This window comes from Homo sapiens, chromosome 20, assembly GCF_000001405.40.
Source record: "Homo sapiens chromosome 20, GRCh38.p14 Primary Assembly".
Lineage (NCBI taxonomy): Eukaryota > Metazoa > Chordata > Mammalia > Primates > Hominidae > Homo > Homo sapiens.
In genome coordinates, this window is record NC_000020.11 from 49,970,585 (window position 1) to 49,989,193 (window position 18,609).

Genomic DNA, 18,609 nt, shown 5'->3' on the forward strand with positions numbered 1-18,609 from the left:
AAAAAAAAAAAAGGAGTTTGCTCTCATTTTCCCCTTCTTGCCAATACCTCTCACCTGCTGTGGGTCAAAGGTGCACAAAGCTCTACAGGTATGCAAGGTAGGTGCAGGTAGGGGAGCCAGGAGACCCTGGGGCTTTCCTGGAGGCAGGTTCAGCCTTCTGCGAGGAAGATGGAGAGAGCAGGGCTCTATCAGTGCAGTCTGATGGGTAAGGGGCCTAGGCCCGAGACAGTCTGCGAGCAAGTGTGCGTGTATGAGCCCCTGAGCCCGCCCACCCTGCAAGTGCCTGGAGACTCACTGGGGAAGGTGTGTTTTGCACTATAGAGACATCCCAATGGCCTATCTCAGTCCTTGAGCTCCAGAGGCATCCATCTCCCAGGCGTAGAGCTGGGCTCTGGCAGGTGTGTGATCGGACTCGGGCAGGTGCAGAGAGGCCTGGCTTCAGGGCCCAGCTCAGCCCCCACATGTCCACCCTCGAAGGCTTCCACAGCTTTCTGTTTTCCAAGGTGACCACGTCATCCCACTTTGTCCAGGATTGCCCCAGAACACCCTCACTGCCAGGCAAACTGGACTGGTTGGTCACCAGACATATTACTCCATTGGACAGAGGAAGAAGAGTCTCAGAGGCTGTCAGTATCTGCCTCATTTTTTGGGGCTGGGTTTTTTTCATGAAAAGTTTATTTGAAATGGTGACACATATATCTGAAATAAAACATTCATATTCTTTAAAAAAGGCTTCTAGGCCGGGCACAGTGGCTCACGCCTGTAATCCCATCACTTTCAGAGGCTGAGGCAGGTGGATCACCTGAGGTCAAGAGTTCAAGACCAGCCTGGCCAACATGGTGAAACCTCATATCTACTAAAAATTAAAAAAAAAAAAAAATTAGCTGGGTGTGATGGTGCACACTTGTAGTTCCAGCTACTTGGGGAGGCTGAGGTAGGAGAATCGCTTGAACCCAGGAGGCAGAGGTTGCAGTGAGCCAAGATCGCACCACTGCAGTCCAGCCTGGGTGACAGAGAGAGACTCCACGTCAAAAACAAAAAACAAAAAGGCTCCTAGAGGCCGGGCGCAGTGGCTCACACCTGTAATCCCAGCATTGTGGGAGGCCAAGGCAGGTGGATCACCTGAGGTCAGGAGTTCGAGACCACCCTGGCCAACATGGCAAAAACCCGTTTCTTAAAAAAATACAAAAATTAGTTGGGCACGGTGGCAGGTTTCTGTAATCCCAGCTCCTCAGGAGACTGAGGCAGGAGAATCACTTGAACCCGGGGAGGTGGAAGTTGCAGTGAGCCGAGATCGAGCCACTGTACTCCAGCCTGGGCAACAGAGCCAGACTGCATCTCCAAAAAAAAAAAAAAATGCTTGTAGAAAAAGAAGACATCTTTCTACCCCACCCTGCTCCTGTCCTCTGAAGCAGTCAGCTTCTTGGACCTCTCAGAGACAGATATTATTTACTTCTGCACAAAAGGCAGCCTATTACATATGCTGTTCATCTGATATATTTTTTTAAGAGATGAAGTCCTGTGCTTGCTTCAGCAGCACATACACTAAAATTGGAATGATACACAGAACATTAATGTGGCCCCTATGCAAGGATGACACACAAATTCATAAAGCATTCCATATTTTTAATTAAAAAGAAAGAGAAAGAAAAAGCAACGGAGTCTTGCTCTGTCACCCAGGCTGGAGCGCAGTGGCATGATCATAGTTAACTGCAGTCTCCAACTCCTGGGCTCAAGGGATCCTCCCACCTCAGCCTCCCAAGTAGCTGGGACTACAGGTGTGTGCCACTATGCCCAACTAATTATTAATTTTGTTGTTGTTGACACAGAGTCTTGCTATCTTGCCCAGGCTGGTCTTGAACTCCTGGGCTCAACTGATCCTCCTGCCTTGGCCTCTCAAAATGCTGGGATTACAGCCGTGAGCCACTGCACCCAGCCCACTTGAATTTTTTCTTCTTCTTCTTTTTTTTTTTTAACACCTGATATTTTTTTCAGTTAAAAATATGAGTTCCGGCAGGGCATGGTGGCTCATGCCTGTAATCCCAGCACTTTGGGAGGCCGAGGCGGGCAGATCACCTGAGGTCAGGAGTTTGAGACCAGCCTGGCCAACATGGTGAAACCTCATCTCTACTAAAAATACAAAAATTACCCCAGTATGGTGGCTCGCACCTGTAATCCCAGCTACTTGGGAGGCTGAGGCACGAGAATTGCTTGAACCTGGGAGGCGGAGTCTGCAGTGAGCTGAGATCATCCCACTGCACTCCAGCCTGGGCAACAGAGCAAGACTCTGTCTCCAAAAAAAAAAAAAAAGCATATATATACATACATATATATGTATATATACGCACACACATATATATATATGAGTTCATTCATTTCATTCAGCTAATAATTACTGAACCAGACCCTGTTCTTGGTGCTCAGGTCATAGTAGCAGACAAGACAAAGTTCCTGCCTGTGTGGAGCTGTCTAGAGCAGAAAGTGAATGTTTAGGTTTTGCAGACTTAAATAGCAAGGATGTTATGTCAGTACTCATATAACAAGAGAAAACAAATTCCCACAAAATTTTTATGGACAATATTTAAATTATAATAATATTTGAGTACAATTTTGTTTTTCATTTTTTTAATTTAATTTTTTTTTGAGGCAGGGTCTCTCATTGTCACCCAGGCTGGAGTGCAGTGGTGCAGTATTGGCTCACTGCAGCCTCGATTTCCCAGGTTCAAGCAATCCTCCCACCTCAGCCTCCTGAGTAGCTGGGACTATAGGTACACACCACTACACCTGGCTAATTTTTGTATTTATTTTTTGGTAAAGTCAGGGTTTTGCCATGTTGGCCAGGCTGGTCTCAAACTTCTGAACTCAAGCGATCCACCCTTCTTGGCCTCCCAAAGTGCTGGGATTACAGGCGTGAGCCACCGTGCCCAGCCTGTCTGTTTTTAAAATATAAATAATAGAGATAGGGTCTTGATACATTGTCCAGGCTGGTCTGGAACTCCTGGACTCAACTGATCCTCCCGCCTTGGCCTCCCAAAGTGCTGGGATTACAGGTGAGAGGCACTGGGCCCAGCCAGTTTTTTTTGTAAGCATGAATTATTATTATTATTATTATTAATTCAAGACAGAATCTCTGTTGTCCAGGCTGGAGTTCGATGGCACAATCACCGCTCACAGCACCCTTGACCTCCTGGGCTCAAGTGATCCTCCCACCTCAGCCTCCCAAGTAGCTGGGACTACAGGCACATGCCACCATGCCTGGCTAAGTTTTGTACTTTTTGTAAAGATGAGGTTTTGCCATTTTACCTGGGCTGGTCTCGAATTCCTGGGCTCAAACAATCCGCCCGCCTCACCTTCCAAAGTGCTGGGACTGCCGGCATGAACCATGAGGTCCAGCAAGCATGGAATTTTGAAGGTTCACATATTGCCTTAATTGAGGTTCCAAGTAACTGTTATCTACCATTAAATCGGTTGCAGTGTTCATCTGTAGAAGCTACTCTTAGCTCAAGGACCATACAAGAAACAAACCTTGGTCAGATTTGGCCTGAGGGCTGTAGTTTGGCAACCTCCAGTCTAAAGGGAAATCAACAAAATCAGTGAAACATACACCATGCCAGATTATGAGCGAAGTGGAGAAAAACTAAGCAGCAAGAGGGGAAGGCGTGCCAGAGGGAAAGGGAGGAGAGGGGGATGAAGTGGTGGCCTGGGAGGCTTTGCTGCGATGGGGGGTGAGCCCTGTGGCTATATGGGAGAAGAGCTGGGAGGAGACAGGGAACACCAGATGCAAGGTCCCCAAAGCAGGAGCATGGCTGATGTGGTTTGCCCTGCAGCCGGAGCCTTGTGGGCGATAGTGAGTATGGGGGCTAGGGTGGGGAGCTCAAGGGGCCACAGGGGGCCAATCCTGTAGGGCCTCGTTGTGGGCCATAGTGAAGGCTCTGGATTTTCCTACAAGAGAGCTGGGACCAGGGAGGGTTTATGTACCCACAGAACAGCATCGACATTTTTTTTTTTTTTTTTAGATGGAGTCTTCCTCTGTCCCCCAGGCTGGATGGAGTGCAGTGGCACGATCTTGGCTCACTGCAACCTCCGCCTCCTGGGTTCAAGCAATTCTTCTGCCTCAGCCTCCCAAGTAACTGGGATTACAGGTGCCTGCTGCCATGCCCAGCTAATTTTTTGTATTTTTAGTGGACATGAGGTTTCACCATGTTGGCCAGGCTGGTCTCGAACTCCTGACCTCAAGTGATCCACCCACTTTGGCCTCCCAAAGTACTGGGATTACAGGTGTGAGCCACCGCACCTGGCCGAGCATCAACATAATTTTTTTTCTTTTTTTTTTGAGACGGAGTTTTGCTCTTGTTGCCCAAGCTGGAATGCAATGGCACAATCTTGGCTCACTGCAACCTCTGCCTCCTGGGTTCAAGTGATTCTTCTGCCTCAGCCTCCCAAGTAGCTGGGATTACAGGCATGCACCACCATGCCCAGCTAATTTTGTATTTCTAGTAGAGACAGGGTTTCTCCATGTTGGTCAGGCTGGTCTCGAACTCCGACCTCAGGTGATCCATCCACCTCGGCCTCCCAAAATGCAGGGATTACAGGCATGAGCCACCATGCCTGGCCAGGCGTGAACATTTTAACAGTCGTGAAAGATTCCATTGATGCGCCTGTTTTACACTCAACAGTTCCTCTATCATGGACGACTTTTTTTTTTTTTTTGAGACGGAGTCTTGCTCTGTCGCCCAGGCTGGAGTGCAGTGGCGTGATCTCAGCTCACTGCAAGCTCTGCCTGTTGGGTTCATGCCATTCTCCTGCCTCAGCCTCCCGAGTAGCTGGGACTACAGGCGCCTGCCACCATGCCCGGCTAATTTTTTGAATTTTTAGTAGAGATGGGGTTTCACCGTGTTAGCCAGGATGGTCTCGATCTCCCGACCTCGTGATCCGCCCGCCTTGGCCTCCCAAAGTGCTGGGATTACAGGCGTGAGCCACTGCGCCTGGCCGTATGGACGACTTTTGCTACCCTATTAAAAATTAATCCAATTGTCCAGATTCGTGGCTCACACCCGAATTCCAATACTTTGGGAGGCCGAGGAGGGAGGATTGCTTGAGCCTAGGAGTTCGAGACCAGCCTGGGCAACATAGCGAGACCCAGTCTCTAAAATAATAATAATAATAATGCCGATAATACTTGTAAATGATAAAAAATAAAATCAAGACATGGGAAAGGATATTTAGTAAAGAATCTTCCTTCCACCCCTGCTGACAGCTACCAGCTTCTCCTCAGAGACAGGCACATTACCCTCTCTCCAGAGATGGTTTAATGTCCTAAGAAATACCTGTATAATGGTGTTTTGCACCTTGCTTTTTTTTTTTTTTTTTTTTTTTGAGACAGAGTCTTACTCTGTTGCCCAGGCTGGAGTGCAGTGGTACAATCTCGGATTACTGCAACCTCCACCTCACAGGTTCAAGCCATGCTGCCTCAGCCTCCCAAGTAGCTGGGATTACAGGCGCACACCACCGTGCCCAGGTAATTTTTTTATTTTTAGTAGTGACGGGGTTTTGCCATGTTGGCCAGGCTGGTCTTGAATGCCTGACCTCAGGTGCTCCACTTGCCTCATCCTCCCAAAGTGCTGGGATTACGGGCGTGAGCCACCGAGCCCGGCTTGCACCTTGCTTTTTAGCACTTAATATCTTGATATGATTTCATTACATCCAGAGCTTTTTCCTTCTTTTCGGGGCAGATGGGTAATGTATTCATTGGTCCCCGCATGGCCTCGGCCTGTATGCAGGAGCCTAGAATACAACTTTGGGATGCTATAGGGACATCCCTGAGGTGAGCCTCCTACAACGAGCCTGGCACCCAGCAGGTGCTCAGTAAATAGGAATGAAAAGGCTAGCTGTAATACTAGTACTTTGGGAGGATTAGGTGGGAGGTTTGCTTGAGCCCAGGAGTTTGAGACTAGCCCGGGCAACATAGTGAGACCCCCATCTCTAATTTTTAAAATTATAAAAAATAAATACCATTTTACAAAGGCTTGTATAGCTTATCTTGGAGCCTCCCCCCATGGGTCATGCCCAACGGACTTAGACCTTGACCCAGAAACCTCCCTTAGAAGCAATTTGTATTCTGAAATGGTGACTTCACAGAGGGCTTATTGGATAAGGCCCACGGCTGAATCACTGTTTGTTTTTAGGCAAGTGTGAGGCATAGGAAGAGGTTAAATCCAGGATGAGGATGGCAGTAGAGCATTGACTCATTCATTGAACTTTCTGTAGACAATGTCTTTCTCCTGGTCAAGATTAACTTTCCAACTCCTGATCAATTCATTCACTGATAATGAGCTAATCAACAGGGGCCACCAGTCTAATAAAGAGCTCTTAGAAATTAAGAAGTTCATTCACTGGAAGGACATGCAGGATTTTAAAAAAGGAAAGAAATCAAGTTCATCAATTTGGTGACCAAAGGACATGAAGCAATAGTTCAGAGCACAGAGAAACAGAAATGGCTTTGGTGTATGTAAAAAATGCTCCACACTGCCGGGCGTGGTGGCTCACGGCTGAGTGCGGTGGCTCATGCCTGTAATCCCAGCACTTTGGGAGGCCGAGGCAGGTGGATCACCTGAGGTTGGCAGTTTGAGACCAGCCTGACCAATATGGAGAAACCTCAGCTCTACTAAAAATACAAAATTAGGTGGGTGTGGTGGCACATGCCTGTAATCCCAGCTACATGGGAGGGTGAGGCAGGAGAATCACTTGAACGTGGGAGGCGGAGGTTGTGGTGAGCCGAGATCACACCATTGCACTCCAGCCTGGGCAACAACAGTGAAACTCTGTCGCAAAAAAAAAAAAAAATGCTCCACCCTAGTCATGTGAAATGCAAATGACAACAGGAGATCCCATTTTCCCTTATCAGACAGGCAAAGATAAAAAAGTTAAAGGCCAGCAAGGTGGCTCATGACTGTAATCCCAGTACTTTGGGAGGCCGAGGCAGGTGAATCACTTAAGCCAAGGAGTTTGAGACCAGCCTAGACAACATGGCAAAACCTCGGCTCTACAAAAAAAAAAAAAAAAAAAAAAAGCAAAAGACAATTAGCCAGATGTGATGCCTCGCACCTATAGTCCCAGCTACTCTGGAGGCTGAGGTGGGAGGATCACTTGAGCCTGGGAGGCGGTGGTTGCAGTGAGCAGGGATTATGCCATGGCACTCCAGCCTGGGTGACAGAGTGAGACTGTCTCAAAAAATAAAAAATAGACAGGGTCAGGTGTGGTGGCTCATGCCTGTAGCCCTGTAGTCCTAGCTGCTCAGGAGGCTGAGGTAGGAGAATCACTTGAGCCCAGGAGATGGAGGCTGCAGTGAGTTATGATCATGCCACTGCACTCCAGCCTGGGCAACATAGCGAGACCCTGTCTCAAAAAAGAAAAACAAAAAGACAATACTCTGTGTTGGGCAACTTTTGAAAAGGGGCCCTCAACTCCCTGCTAGTGGGAGTATAGTTCAGTTTCATCTTTTTGGATGGCATTTGGACAAATGTATCAACATTTTATATAACATACCATTTGATGTGAAGTGCAATGATGTGTGTAGAGGGCATTCATTGAAATTGCCACATTATTTGTAGTAGCCAATAAATTGCAATCTAACCTAAATGCCCATCATGAGTCTTCGTGTTAGGTAAATTGTGTGATTGTGCTATAATCCATACAATGAATAGTCCGCATCCCTGCAGAAAACTAAGGGAGCTGCGTGTAATGATATGGAATGATTTTCAAAACACTGAATATTGTTATAGCATTACCCATGTGATGACGATTCAAAACAAAAAAATGTTACTATAGCAAGGTGTAGGTTAGTGTGGAGGTTCCTATTTGTAATACATAAAGGGCTGTACATATATACATATATATATATATATATATATATATATATATATATATATATAGTTAAAGACAGGATCTCACTCTGTTGCCCAAGCTGGAGTGCAGTGGTATGATCTTGGCTCATGGACGCCTCTACCTCCCAGGCTCAAGTGATCCTCCCACCTCAGCCTCCCGAGTAGCTGGGACAACAGGCATGTAACCTGCCTATTTTTTGTTTTGTTTTGTTTTGTTTTTTTGAGACAGGGTCTTGCTATATTGCCCGGGCTTGTCTCAAACTTCTGGGCTCAAGCGATCCTCCCACCTTGACCTCCCAAAGCTCTGGGATTACAGGTGTGAGCCACCACGCACTGCCCATGCACATATTAATATATACATAGGCCATCCCTGGAAGGTCATACAAGACACTGGTTTAAAAAAAAAAAAAGGTTGCTTTGGGGAGGGAAAAGGAGGTCTGGAATGGAGGGAGACTCTTCTTTTAGTTGGGTAACTGTAAATCACATTATTTAGCTACTGGTTTTACTTCTAGTGGGAGATTGGCACCTGCAGAAAATGCAGGTGTCTATTCAAATGTACCTTCCTTCCAGAAGCCTTTCGTGAGCACACTAGGTATTCCCAGATTGCCCTCCCGGCAGTTATACCAGCCTTCACCTCCCTGAAAAGCACGTGCCCCCTGCACCCCGCGACGATTGCAGGGAGGCGCCTTGGCCAGCAGAGGGCGCCAGAGGACCGCGCCCCAGGCCTGGGGCGGGACCCCCTCGTGCGGGGAGCTGGGGAGGGCCTGGCCCTGCCGGGTCCCAGGCCACCTGGGCCGCAGATGTCGCCCATTTCCGGGAGGACCTGACCCCACAGTATCAAAAGTGTCACCTCACCTTCCCCTGCAAAGGGAGCTGGGTCTGCGGCCGAGAGGCCTGGCCCGAAGCCTCCTCTCACCTCGTGGTCTCCGCCGCCTGCAGGAGGGAGTGGAGCGAGGGCGGGCCTGGAGGGGGTGGCGGGGACAATTCGATCCGATCTGAGCAAGGCCCCTCCCCTCTGCGTTGCCTCCCACCCCCATGCCCCGCGCAGGTGCCTGACCACTGAAGGAAAGTGGAAAGCGGGAGGCCCAGGCAGTGGCTGCCTGCAAGTACTTGATTGAGCCCCCATTATGTGCTTTGAAGAAAACAGAATAAGACAATGAGAGAGAAAGGTGGGCTGGGCGCGGTGGCTCACTCCTGTAATCCCACCAAGTTGGGAGGCTAAAGTGGGAGGATCAATTGAGCCGCAGAGTTTGAGACCAGCCTGGGCAACATAGTGGGACCCCATTTCTACAAAAAATAAATTAGCCAGGCATGGTAGCGCGTCTCAGTGAAAAAAGGGGGAAAAAAAGAAAAAAGAAGGTGGGTGCTGGGGCAAGGGTGGGTCCTACTTTGGCTAGGGTGATCAGGGAAGGCTCCCCTGAGGAAGTGACTTACATTTTTTGTGTTAAATATATTATTCATACCTAAAAGTGTTTAAATTGTCTCTGTACACTACCATGTCATGAAGATACGGTAAAATAAATAGTCCATGTACAGTAGAAAGACTAACAATAAAGATCCCTCCCTGCCTAGGAAACAGATCATTACCAAAATTCTAGAAGCTTCATGTGCAGCCTGTTCTTGCCTCCCCTCCTCACCAGCCACTCTTCAGAATTTTGTATCAAACATCTCCTTGCAGCCGGCATAGTGGCTCACCCCTGTAATCCCAGCACTTTGGCAGGCTGAGCTCAGGAGTTCCAGGCGGCAGTGAGCCGTGATTGTGCCACTGCACTCCAGCCTGGGTGACAGAGCAAGACCCCGTCTCAAAAACAAAACAAAAAACCACTTCCTTGCTTTTCTTTCTAATTCTACAACCCCCACATACATCCCTAAATAATATAGGGTTTCATTTGCCTGCTTCAGAACCTCGTATAAATCCAAATAACTATGCATTTGTTTGTGACCTCTGCTCGACATTGTGTTTTTGAGATTCATCCCTGTTGCTGCATGGAGTTGTAGTTCATTTTTATTGCTGTATAGTATTCTATTACAGGATTGCACCAGGGTTCATTAATCCAGTCTACTGTTTATAAACATTTGTGTTGTATCCAGTTTTGTTTTAGTTTTTGCTTTTTTTGCTATTAGGAACGAGGGTACAATGAATATCCTTTTTTGTTTTTTCGGGGTTTGGGCTGGACAACAGTTCTTTACTTTGCTTGGTTGCTCATTATAATCCCCAGGGGAGTTTTTTAAAATGCTGATGCCAGAGGCCCCACCCAGACTAATTAAATCAAGATGTGGGTGGGGGTGGGGTGGGCCGAGGCTTAGGTGTTTTAATCCTTCCCTGTGGGGATCTAATGTGCTGCCAGAGCTGAGAACCCCTGGGATGCAGTTGGTTTGAGGACAGACTTGTCAGCTGCAGCCCCTGGGATGCAGTTGGCTTGAGGACAGACAGGGAGAGGAGTCACCTGTTGCTAGCTGATGCCAAACTTTTCCAAAGTGACTATGCCCACCGACCCTCTCGCCAGCTCTCACCTCCTCATCAACTCTTGATAGTGACCAAATTTTTCCTTGTTGTCCTTCTGATGGGCGTGAAATGGCAGCTCACTGTGGCTTGAATTTGCCATTTCTCTCTTCACTAAACGAGGCTGAGCAGTTAGTGAAGTTGCTGCTGAAACAAAGAATGAAAGGAAGCCAGCGTGAAGATCTAGGAGCAAGAGACGTAGGGGAGAGGAGGAAGAGCAGCAGGTGCCAAGGTGGGAAAGGTCTGGGATGTTGGAGGAACAGAAGGAAGGCTGGGGGTGGGATCCTTGTGCATGGGGGAGGGAGAGAGGCTCAAGCCAATGTCAGCTGGGGTCAGAGCAGCGGGGCCGAGTTGGCTGAGGAGAGGACTTTGGCTTTTACTCTGAGACAGGCGCATGGGAGGGTTTGAGCAGAGGAGGGGGTGATCTGGCCTCACTTTGGCTTCAAGCAAAGGATCCTGATTGGAGCTAAATTGACACGGGACGGGGAGTATTCCGCTTAATGACTGCTTACTGCCTCTGTCCCCCACCCTACTGCCCGCTCTCCAGCTAGAACCAGGGGAGGACGATTTTGTTCACGGCTGTCACACCCGGCACCAAGTGACTAAACAGACAGTAGTTCTGCCCTTCAGGTTGGTGGTGGTGGTGGTGTGGGGTGCTTATAGGTTTTTATAGTCTTCCTTCACAGGTGGAAACAAGAACGGTGAGACCTGTGAGGTTTATTTCAGAGCCACCCCCGGGCCTGGTACGCCTCCCAGGGAAGCTGGGGTGGGGGTGCAGCTGCCCCTCACTTGGGCCCACCCCACATGCATTCAGTCAGGGCCCCTATGGAGCCGTGTTACAGCCTTTAGACACAGGATCGAGGATCTTCACGGGGTGAGGAGACACGCCCGGCCCATGCCTTCTTTCTCCCGCCAGCCTACAGGGATCTTTTTCAACGAAACTCTAACCAGGTCCCTCCTCAGCTGAAAATCCTTCGGTGGCTCCCCAGTGCCCTTGAGGCAAAGTCCAAACTCCTACGAGGCCCTGGGGCCCAGCACATCTGACCCCTCCGGGCATGCCCATCCCACCCCATCCCTGGAAGCTGCTCTCTAGGAGTTACTCTGAAGCAGTTGCCACTTCTTCCCTCGGGCCTTTTCCCTTGATAATTCTTCACTTCCTCTGGGAAGTCACCCCGACCCCCTGTCAGGTGACCCGCCTCTTAACGGTCGCCGCGTCCCGTCTCTCCCCCACCAAAGCACACTTCCCTTTGCATTGTAATTATCTGTTTACTTCGTCTGTCTCCCTCACTGGACCAGAAGCTACCCTTCGGGAGAGGCTCTGAGTGTTCTGTCCGGGGCTGTGCCCTGGCCCCAGGTACAGTGCCCCACACGTGCTGGGCGCTCCGTAAACACTGGATAAGGGAAGGAACGGGTGCTCTTGGCTAGCTGGGCCAGGCTGCTTTGCAAAAAGGCCGTGGCATTTCAAGCCGCCGAGAGCCACGTGCGGTGTCCCTTTCCTCGCTTCCTCCCCAGTGATGTGCGTTTCCCTCGTCAATGCCACGCTCTCCAGGCGCCAGCCGGGCGGAGGAAATTTCCGCCCCCTCCCAAGCCCGAGGCGGGGGCGGGCGTCGGAAGGTCAGGTGTCCCGGCCGGCGCGCAGCGCCAGGGGGCGTCAGAAGCGCTCAGACCACCGGGCGCTGAGCCGGTGGGCGCGCGGCGTCCTGCCGGGGTCCCACCTCGCAGAGGCCTCGCTTCGCTCGACGTCCCGCCCCGGACAGCCCCAGCACCGGGGACGACCCGCGCTGCGCCAGCGAACCCCGCCTCGGAGGAGTCCCCGCCCGGGCTCTCACCGCCACGCGGCGCGAGCCCGGCCAGCAGCCGGCGCACCTGCTCGGGGAGTGGCCTTCGGCGGAGACGAGCCTCCGATTGGCGCGGAGGTGACAAAGGGGCGTGGCAGATAAGGCCCCGCCCCTCCCACCCCCCACCACCCCCCCGGAGTACTTAAGGGAGTTGGCGGCGCTGCTGCATTCATTGCGCCGCGGCACGGCCTAGCGAGTGGTTCTTCTGCGCTACTGCTGCGCGAATCGGCGACCCCAGTGCCTCGACCACTATGCCGCGCTCTTTCCTCGTCAGGAAGCCCTCCGACCCCAATCGGAAGCCTAACTACAGCGAGCTGCAGGACTCTAATCCAGGTGCGTTGGAGGGGTTCTGGGCTCCAGGAGGTTTGGGGGAGACAGGCGAAGGCTGCGTGGGGGGCACCTGAGGGAGGCGGCCTGCCTGAGCCAGGATCGAGTCACAGGATGTTTTGTGGACCATTGCGGGCTCGGGAGACCGGGCAAGTGGGTCCCCAGTTCCGGGGATCTGTCTGGGTGGTTGGGGGAGTGCCGTGTAGAGGGCAGGGGTCTTCAGCTTGGGGGGCCTTTGTAGCCGGCGAGAGGCGGAGGAGCTCCGCAAGAGGGGAAGGAGAGGAGGCCTGTGTCAGGAGGGCCCTCTGGACGCTGCTGGGGAGAGTCCGGAGTCCAGAGGGTTGAGGGGAGGGGTGGGGAGACGAGATGTGTGTGAGGAGGGGGATTGGGGCAGGGTGGTGGCTCCGGGGCTGGGATGATGGGGTTCTGGCCTCAGGCTGGAGACTGGGGACTTAGGAGAGGGAGATCAGGAAATGACCTCCTTCAACTGGGGGTCCTACGTGTGAGAGACTCAGATTGGGTGACCTGGGCGAGGAGGGCAGGAACCTGGTCTGTCCTGTGGATAATTTTTTTGATCTAATTATGTATTGAGAATCGGCCCCACCCAGCCCCTGGCCAGCGGTGGGCTCATGTTTGTTGATTGAGTGAATGATTTAATTAACGCCTGACTCTGCTTTTTCTCCCTCAGAGTTTACCTTCCAGCAGCCCTACGACCAGGCCCACCTGCTGGCAGCCATCCCACCTCCGGAGATCCTCAACCCCACCGCCTCGCTGCCAATGCTCATCTGGGACTCTGTCCTGGCGCCCCAAGCCCAGCCAATTGCCTGGGCCTCCCTTCGGCTCCAGGAGAGTCCCAGGGTGGCAGAGCTGACCTCCCTGTCAGATGAGGACAGTGGGAAAGGCTCCCAGCCCCCCAGCCCACCCTCACCGGCTCCTTCGTCCTTCTCCTCTACTTCAGTCTCTTCCTTGGAGGCCGAGGCCTATGCTGCCTTCCCAGGCTTGGGCCAAGTGCCCAAGCAGCTGGCCCAGCTCTCTGAGGCCAAGGATCTCCAGGCTCGAAAGGCCTTCAACTGCAAATACTGCAACAAGGAATACCTCAGCCTGGGTGCCCTCAAGATGCACATCCGAAGCCACACGCTGCCCTGCGTCTGCGGAACCTGCGGGAAGGCCTTCTCTAGGCCCTGGCTGCTACAAGGCCATGTCCGGACCCACACTGGTACGTGCCCCTCCAGGCGCCCCCACCGTTGCTCTCTCTGGCAGCTTTTGTGAATCTGGGCTTGCTGTTCTCATTCCCAAAGCTGTGGACACTGAGGCCCCGAGTCTTCTAACTTCTAGCTCAAGTTCCAGGGCCTGGCTCTCTGGAAACGTTTGGCAGAAACTTTCTTCATCAGCTAAGCAGATGGGCAAAGCAGACACCTTCCCAATCCCCTGCAGCCTGTTTCTCAGCCAAATGGGTCGGAGCTGGATATGGGAAAGGTGCAACCAACACCTTGCTGTGGGGGCCAGGTGTGAAGGGGCCCACCCGGCCACACCCTCTCCCGGGTCCGCCCCCTCCCTAGCCAGACAGGATGTTGTCAGACCCCCCGCCTGGCTCTGAATCCTTCTTTGAGAACTTTCTCAAAACTTAGGCTGATGTTTCTCTTCTGTGAGCCTCATTTTCTCTATCTTTCAGATGGGCATGAGAACAGCTTTTGGGGTTTCTATACAGGCTAAATGCAGGAATGCATATGGGAAGCACCTGGCAAAGTGCCGGTACCTGCTAAACTCTCACAAAAATGGTTCCTTGGCATTTGCTCTGCTTCCTTGCTGTGTGACTTTGGGCAAGCAACTTAACCTCTCTGAGCCTTAGGGGAAAACTATGATAGCATATGTTTTAGAGAGTGGCTGTAAAGGTGGCTAATCACTTTATAGTAATTTATTATACCCGAACGGTTCTCAGGTCGGCTTCCCCACCCCCACTGAATCCTAGCACACAGACCAGGAAACGGCATCTTTGGGGCAGAAAACACAATCACGTCTTTTGAAAATTTACTAAATGTGTAAAAAACTTTCTGGACATGGAGAAAAGGTAGAACTTTTTAGAACTTGAATGGTGGCAGCCACTGTGCCTGGAGCTGCTCTTTGGAGAGTGACAGTTGAGGGAGAAGATTCCACAGGGTTCAAGCTGGCCAGGTTCTGCCATTTCCTGGCCTGGCGCCTGACCTCTGAGCGGTGAGGGTTAGTGAGGTGTCTGGGAGGACTGGCAATTCGCGGGCTTTATTGGCATCTTATTCGACTAAGGCTACCCATTTCTCTTCCTTCGTGCACCAATTGCTCTGATTTTAACATGTAAAGGTCCAACTGCCTGGCCTCCTGGGTGCCTGCCCAGCTCACAGGGCTCTATTTTGGGACAGTTGAACCCCTCAGGGTGCTGCAGTCCTGCCTGCCTCTCTCACCTCCCATCTGGACATTATTTTAATGTAAAGGCATGGCTGAGACACAGAAATCCCCTTGAAATGTATCATTGCGGTCCTCATTGACTCCCATTGTGTGCCTTAATGGTGGGCCCAGTGGGTGGGGGCTGGGAGGGGTGGAGCAGGTGCATGGGGCAGCGGTGCCCAGCACCTGTTCCAGTCACAGCTGCTGGCCCACTGCATGGCAGGCCCCTTTAATCCGGGGATATCGCATGTACAGTGCCCCCCTCGGCGCCCTTTGTCCCCGCCGGCCTGGTGCCGATTTCACACTTGCCAGGAGTACCATGAAGGCGTCTGGGGGGCGAGGGATCCAAGGAGTGGGGGTCTGTGCCTCCTGCGTGTGCACACAGCCCCCGCCCCCAGCCCATCATGTCCTAGAATGTCTCCTTCCCCTTTTGTTTGGGTTCAGGTCTCATCACACTTTGGGCACTTACTGTACAGGAGGGTAGTGCTCAGGACTTCACCAACAGCCCTGGGAAGGGAAGGGAGGTGCTGTCCTAACTCTGGTCTTACAAATGGACTCCAGCCCCTTTTCCAGATCTCCAGAGTCAGCCCTTAGTTCACAAGGGTGAACTTACCCTTCTCATTCACATGAAGACTTAGAATGCAATCAACAAACCCTTCAGGCGTGGCGTGTGGAGGCTGCTGAGTAATGGCAGAGTGGAGTAGTGCTCAGGCACCCCTCCCCCAATCCTCTATGTCCCCCACCCTTTGGAGTGGCGAGTTTCCATTTCTGCCCCATGAGACTGAGTCCAGCTCTCAGGCGCTCCATAAGTCCCTATTGAATGCATGGGTCCCATTGGAGCCATCCTCTGGACTCTCTCCTACCCTGGTAGCTCAGTGTGGCACCCTAGGCACCCAGGAGGTGATGGAATGAATTCACTCTCAGCTCTTAAATTCCATCCAGCGCTGGGATTTCACAGGCGGGCCCTGACCTTGCGGGCATATCAGACTGGGCGTGAGGGGATTGGAGAATTGCATGTTTTTTAAAAAGACTATTCAGTATTATGGAATAGTGTCTAGCACTTAGTAGGAGCTCAGTAGATTAAAAAAAAAATTATAGACAGGGTCTTGCTTTATCGCCTAGGCTTGTCTCAAACTCCTGGCTTCAAGCAATCCTGCCTCACTCGGCCTCCCAGAGTGATGGGATTACAAGCGTGAGCCACCACACCCAGCCTCAATAGATTTTTGTTTAATGGGTTACTGTTATGACCTTTTATTTGGAAAATGCTGCATCCCCCAGAAAAAAACAAATCAACATTATTGGTGTTTTTGGAACTATATAGCTTTTTGGTTGGAGCAGGGATTGTTATGAGGCATGAGTGAGGGGGCAGACTCCTCTGAGGCCTCTTTAATTTTTAAAACAGACTTATTTATTCTCTAAGGGCTTGTTGAGGATTTACTGGGCACCCAGCTCCATGTGCAAGACTTTTCCCAACACAGCCTTGGCCAGGCAGATGGTGTGTCAGGGCCACAGGTTTCCGTAGCCTCTTGGGTGATAGAAAGGGGCCCAGGCCCTGGGCTGGGGCTCAGAAGGGACTCAAAGGAGGCCCTTGCCCTTATGGGACTCAGCCTGATTGGAGAACAGACAAGGAGATTTGGGATTACAGCGCAGGAGGTGGGGTGGTGAGGAAAGCAGGCTGCTGGCCGGGCCCCAGGAGTGGCCTAACCAGCTTGGAGGTGGGGGTGGGGAAGCCTCTTAAGGCTGACTCTGGCTTTGGCCCCCAACAGAGTAAATCAAGGAATGACTCCAGGACTGATGGTAAGGACACCAGTCACGTCCTCCCTTGACTGAAGGCAGTAAGGGCAGTAGGTGAAATCAGAGGCTTTGGGGTCCTGCCAGGGGAACCTGAACATGCTACTTCTGGGCCTCAGTTTCACTGTCTCTGAAATGAGACCACAGTAGGATCAAGTGACAGTAGGATGAATCAGTAAAGGTGTTGAGTCATTGTTGACCACTTCGCACGTCCCTGCGGGATGTGGATGAGTACCCTACCTTCTGTCACTTATCAACCCCTATGAGTGGGGGGTGAATAGCCCCATTTTACAGGTGGGAAAATGGAGGCTCAGAGAAGCCAGACAACTTGCTCAGAGTTGCACAGTGGGAAGCAGCAGAGCTCCGTCAGGTCCCGGCCTTTGGACCCTGGCTGTGTGTTTGACGGAGGCCTGGCTTTCCTGGGATCATGGGATTCTTTCAGGGTTTGGGGTATGCGGGGAGGGATTCCCATCACTGCCAGCCGTTGTCCCACGGCTCACTCGGCCTTTCTGGCGTTCTCTCCCCAGGCGAGAAGCCCTTCTCCTGTCCCCACTGCAGCCGTGCCTTCGCTGACCGCTCCAACCTGCGGGCCCACCTCCAGACCCACTCAGATGTCAAGAAGTACCAGTGCCAGGCGTGTGCTCGGACCTTCTCCCGAATGTCCCTGCTCCACAAGCACCAAGAGTCCGGCTGCTCAGGATGTCCCCGCTGACCCTCGAGGCTCCCTCTTCCTCTCCATACCTGCCCCTGCCTGACAGCCTTCCCCAGCTCCAGCAGGAAGGACCCCACATCCTTCTCACTGCCATGGAATTCCCTCCTGAGTGCCCCACTTCTGGCCACATCAGCCCCACAGGACTTTGATGAAGACCATTTTCTGGTTCTGTGTCCTCTGCCTGGGCTCTGGAAGAGGCCTTCCCATGGCCATTTCTGTGGAGGGAGGGCAGCTGGCCCCCAGCCCTGGGGGATTCCTGAGCTGGCCTGTCTGCGTGGGTTTTTGTATCCAGAGCTGTTTGGATACAGCTGCTTTGAGCTACAGGACAAAGGCTGACAGACTCACTGGGAAGCTCCCACCCCACTCAGGGGACCCCACTCCCCTCACACACACCCCCCCACAAGGAACCCTCAGGCCACCCTCCACGAGGTGTGACTAACTATGCAATAATCCACCCCCAGGTGCAGCCCCAGGGCCTGCGGAGGCGGTGGCAGACTAGAGTCTGAGATGCCCCGAGCCCAGGCAGCTATTTCAGCCTCCTGTTTGGTGGGGTGGCACCTGTTTCCCGGGCAATTTAACAATGTCTGAAAAGGGACTGTGAGTAATGGCTGTCACTTGTCGGGGGCCCAAGTGGGGTGCTCTGGTCTGACCGATGTGTCTCCCAGAACTATTCTGGGGGCCCGACAGGTGGGCCTGGGAGGAAGATGTTTACATTTTTAAAGGTACACTGGTATTTATATTTCAAACATTTTGTATCAAGGAAACGTTTTGTATAGTTATATGTACAGTTTATTGATATTCAATAAAGCAGTTAATTTATATATTAAAAAGTCTTTGGTGTCATAGAGGAGTGGGTATTTTGAAAGGTCTTTGGTAAGGGAGGAGGGGACAGGAATTCCTGAAGCTTAGATATTTCTGACACAGCCTTAAATCTTGTCCTTGGAAACATCATAGGGCTTTGGAGTCCTGGGTGTCACTGTCAGGGACCTTATGAGACTGGGTTTTCCCGTTGGCCTGGGTGTCCTGTCTGCTGCTGTTTGGGTGAGCCAGCGGCATCCATACGAGCTCTTCACTATACACTGTGGCTTTTTACTTTCTCGTTCTTGAATTTTGAAGTTGATCTGGCCCACGGAGTGC

General features: G+C 51.7%; 1 protein-coding gene and 1 pseudogene across 1 annotated transcript, besides 4 other annotated features; both read left to right on the forward strand.

Moving 5' to 3' along the window:
• Window positions 1,522–1,628, forward strand: RNU6-147P (RNA, U6 small nuclear 147, pseudogene; annotated as a pseudogene).
• Window positions 8,570–8,629: a silencer, noted in NCBI's record as "silent region_13009". NCBI's record gives its function as "represses an Ori minimal core promoter by ATAC-STARR-seq in GM12878 lymphoblastoid cells {active_cell/tissue: GM12878}" and the evidence as "EXISTENCE:reporter gene assay evidence [ECO:0000049][PMID:35858748]".
• Window positions 8,730–8,829: a silencer, noted in NCBI's record as "silent region_13010". NCBI's record gives its function as "represses an Ori minimal core promoter by ATAC-STARR-seq in GM12878 lymphoblastoid cells {active_cell/tissue: GM12878}" and the evidence as "EXISTENCE:reporter gene assay evidence [ECO:0000049][PMID:35858748]".
• Window positions 10,801–11,738: an enhancer, noted in NCBI's record as "H3K27ac-H3K4me1 hESC enhancer chr20:48597922-48598859 (GRCh37/hg19 assembly coordinates)". NCBI's record gives its function as "activates a minimal SCP1, AML or CMV promoter by ChIP-STARR-seq in naive H9 embryonic stem cells {active_cell/tissue: H9 hESC(naive)}" and the evidence as "EXISTENCE:reporter gene assay evidence [ECO:0000049][PMID:30033119]".
• Window positions 11,891–12,410: a silencer, noted in NCBI's record as "silent region_13011". NCBI's record gives its function as "represses an Ori minimal core promoter by ATAC-STARR-seq in GM12878 lymphoblastoid cells {active_cell/tissue: GM12878}" and the evidence as "EXISTENCE:reporter gene assay evidence [ECO:0000049][PMID:35858748]".
• On the forward strand, window positions 12,396–18,302 carry SNAI1 (snail family transcriptional repressor 1). The gene is made up of 3 exons (NM_005985.4): window positions 12,396–12,557; window positions 13,240–13,767; window positions 17,288–18,302. The coding sequence occupies exons 1-3, from the start codon at window positions 12,476–12,478 to the stop codon at window positions 17,470–17,472; spliced, it is 795 nt and encodes a 264-aa protein (NP_005976.2). The 5' UTR covers window positions 12,396–12,475; the 3' UTR covers window positions 17,473–18,302.
• Window positions 18,303–18,609: the final 307 nt, after the last annotated feature.